The 2626-nt window shown below is 37.9% G+C and overlaps 1 annotated feature.

Annotated features, from left to right (window-relative positions):
* Positions 614-1813: an enhancer, noted in NCBI's record as "P300/CBP strongly-dependent group 1 enhancer chr17:69067578-69068777 (GRCh37/hg19 assembly coordinates)". NCBI's record gives its function as "activates an origin of replication core promoter dependent on BRD2, BRD4, P300/CBP, MED14 and CDK7 cofactors, with strong dependence on P300/CBP, by STARR-seq in HCT116 cells {active_cell/tissue: HCT116}" and the evidence as "EXISTENCE:reporter gene assay evidence [ECO:0000049][PMID:35650434]".

Raw genomic sequence — 2626 nt, forward strand, 5'->3', positions numbered from 1 at the left:
ATTATGTCACCAGAGCAGATAAAGTGGTGTAAAAAAGGAGGGAAAGCCATTTCCCACAGGAGAGTCAAGGAAGGCTTTGTGGAGGATGTGTCATTTGAGATGGGCCATAAAACACAGGTAGTATTTATATTTTAAAGACATTTGGGGTGGAGGAAACTGAATCCATCCATTTATTCACTTCTGCATTCATTTACTCATTTACCCAACATCTATTAACCAATGACAATCCACAAGGTATTGTGTTGAATCCCAGACTATGAGGTCAAATAAAACAAAGTCTTTGCTTTCAGGGCATACTACTTATTTGAAAAATAGCTAAGAGATCAGATCATCTAGGTCATAAAATACACATAAAAGAGTAGAGGATATAAAACAGGGAAGTGGATTAGGATCTAAGTGTGGAAGGCCTTGAATCTCAGCTTGATCCTTTTTTGATAGGCAATGAGATGGTCACGGAGGTATCCGGCCAGCCTGCAGGTACAACTTAATCAACAATGTGCCTTAAGTGAAAGTCACCAAGTAGCCTTAAGTAGCACTGACCGGCGGAAGTAAATTAGGTAGACCTCAAAAAGCAAAAAGAAAAACTAGCAAACACACACAGGTTAGTAGTCATTTAGTATCTCTATTTCCACACCCTGACTCAAATAACTCCCTTGATTCTCAGAACCAATATTTCTTCTGAAATGGCTCTCCTGAAGGGTTTAATTTAATACAATTGTCCGACATTCTAATTTACTCTCTATGGGTGAAGAGGATGGTATTTACAGGAATTGCTTTCAAATAGACAAAGTCAACTCTGATACTTGCTCTAGGAGGAAACCACTGTTTTAAAATACCAGATTTGTGGTGTGGACCTAAATATTAAATGCTATTCTTTTTTTTTTTTTAATCAAGTGACCTGTCTTCGTCATTATTCTTTCTTCAAGTCATAGACTCTTCTTTTCCTTTTAATGATGTATGGCTCATTGAAATTATTGTTAAAACTGTATTTAGCACAATTGTAAATTAATACAAATGTCTGCAATCTCAGGGAGACCAGAAGAACTGGAGGAAATGGGGCCAGTGAGACCCAGAAGGTAGAGGGACTCGTTCAACGTCATGAAGTGAGTCAGAGGGGAGTCAGGAACTAACTCCTAGAGGGACTCGTTCAACGTCATGAAGTGAGTCAGAGGGGAGTCAGGAACTAACTCCGTGAGTCATGGCTCCCAGTCTGTGCTCTGACCGCGAGACAAAGCTCCTCCCTGGCCACAGTAAGAGGACTCACCCTTGACGCAGCCAAGCTGGCTCTTTCTCTACATCTCTGGCCTCCACTAATGGCAGTACTATGTCCTGTTACATTTTGTTCCACGGTCCAGAATACGTTCCAATGAACACATTTTGGCTAGGTGGAGAAGTGGTAGCAATGAAGTAGTTCACCTTATAATACAAAGCCACTGAAGCCCAGTGCAGGTAAGAGGGCCAGAGTCGGAAATGGAGTGAGCAGATTCCACCAAGTCTGAAATGAGAAACTTTCAGTTTACACAGTTGAGGCATTCAGCAAGTCAGAAAAAGATAGGAAAAGAAGCCAGGGGTAGAGCAAGATGTTGGGAGTGTCTTTTTCCGCTCCTAAATCAGTAACACACTTCTGCTCTGGGATAGCATATTAAGATGAGGAATGAATACATTAGAATAAGATGGGCTGAAAAGTCTGTTGATATTCCTGTGGATATTATCTATTATTTGTTTGTTAGAATATCTATGCTTATTACCACTTCTCCATATCCGACATTCTAATTTACTTTCTATGGTGAAGAGGATGGCATTTACGGGAATTGCTTTCAAATGGACAAAGTCAACTCTGATACTTGCTCTGGGAGGAAACCACTGTTTTATAATACCAGATTTATGGTATGGACCTAAATATTAAATGCTATTCTTTTTTTTTTATTAAGTGACCTGTCTTAGTCATTATTCTTTCTTCAAGTCATAGAGTCTTCTTTTCCTTTTAATGATGTATGGCTCATTGAAATTATTGTTAAAACTGTATTTTAGCACAGCTTTACATATACAATATTAAAAACATGCCTTGGTCATTAATGCTGTGGAAATATAAATACTCCTTGTGTAGATCTGTGGCCATTTCTTACAGTTCCAAGGTAAAGGTACATTTACAAGCGTCTGGGAGAAATGAGTAATAATACCTTTTTCATATGAAAATATCAATGTGGGAAAGCCAGTGTACTCAATAATTCTTTATAGTGGAGGTGGTTCTCGTACTCATAGGAGCAAAATATTGCATTAAAAATTTAAAATTTTATTTAAGTAAAGTCTATGCACACTCAAAAATTCAAAGTCAAAACCACAAAAAGCTAACCTATATCATTGAGGGATGCATACGTAAGTGATAAAAATATAAATAAATGCAAAAATTATTATTACAGAAGTCATATTAATATCAGCTTTAAAGGTTAGGAGGAGGTTTTGCTCAGAGAGAGTAGATGGTTTAGGGGTTGAGGGTGCTTTCAGGGGCTGGCAATGTTCTACTTTTTGACCTGGGTGGTGGTTGCACAGACATTTATTATATTGTTAAACTGTCCAAATGTGTTTTATGCAGCTTTCTGTGTGTATGTTATAATTCACAATAAAA

Source organism: Homo sapiens, chromosome 17, assembly GCF_000001405.40.
Source record: "Homo sapiens chromosome 17, GRCh38.p14 Primary Assembly".
In the NCBI taxonomy this organism is placed as follows: Eukaryota; Metazoa; Chordata; class Mammalia; order Primates; family Hominidae; genus Homo; species Homo sapiens.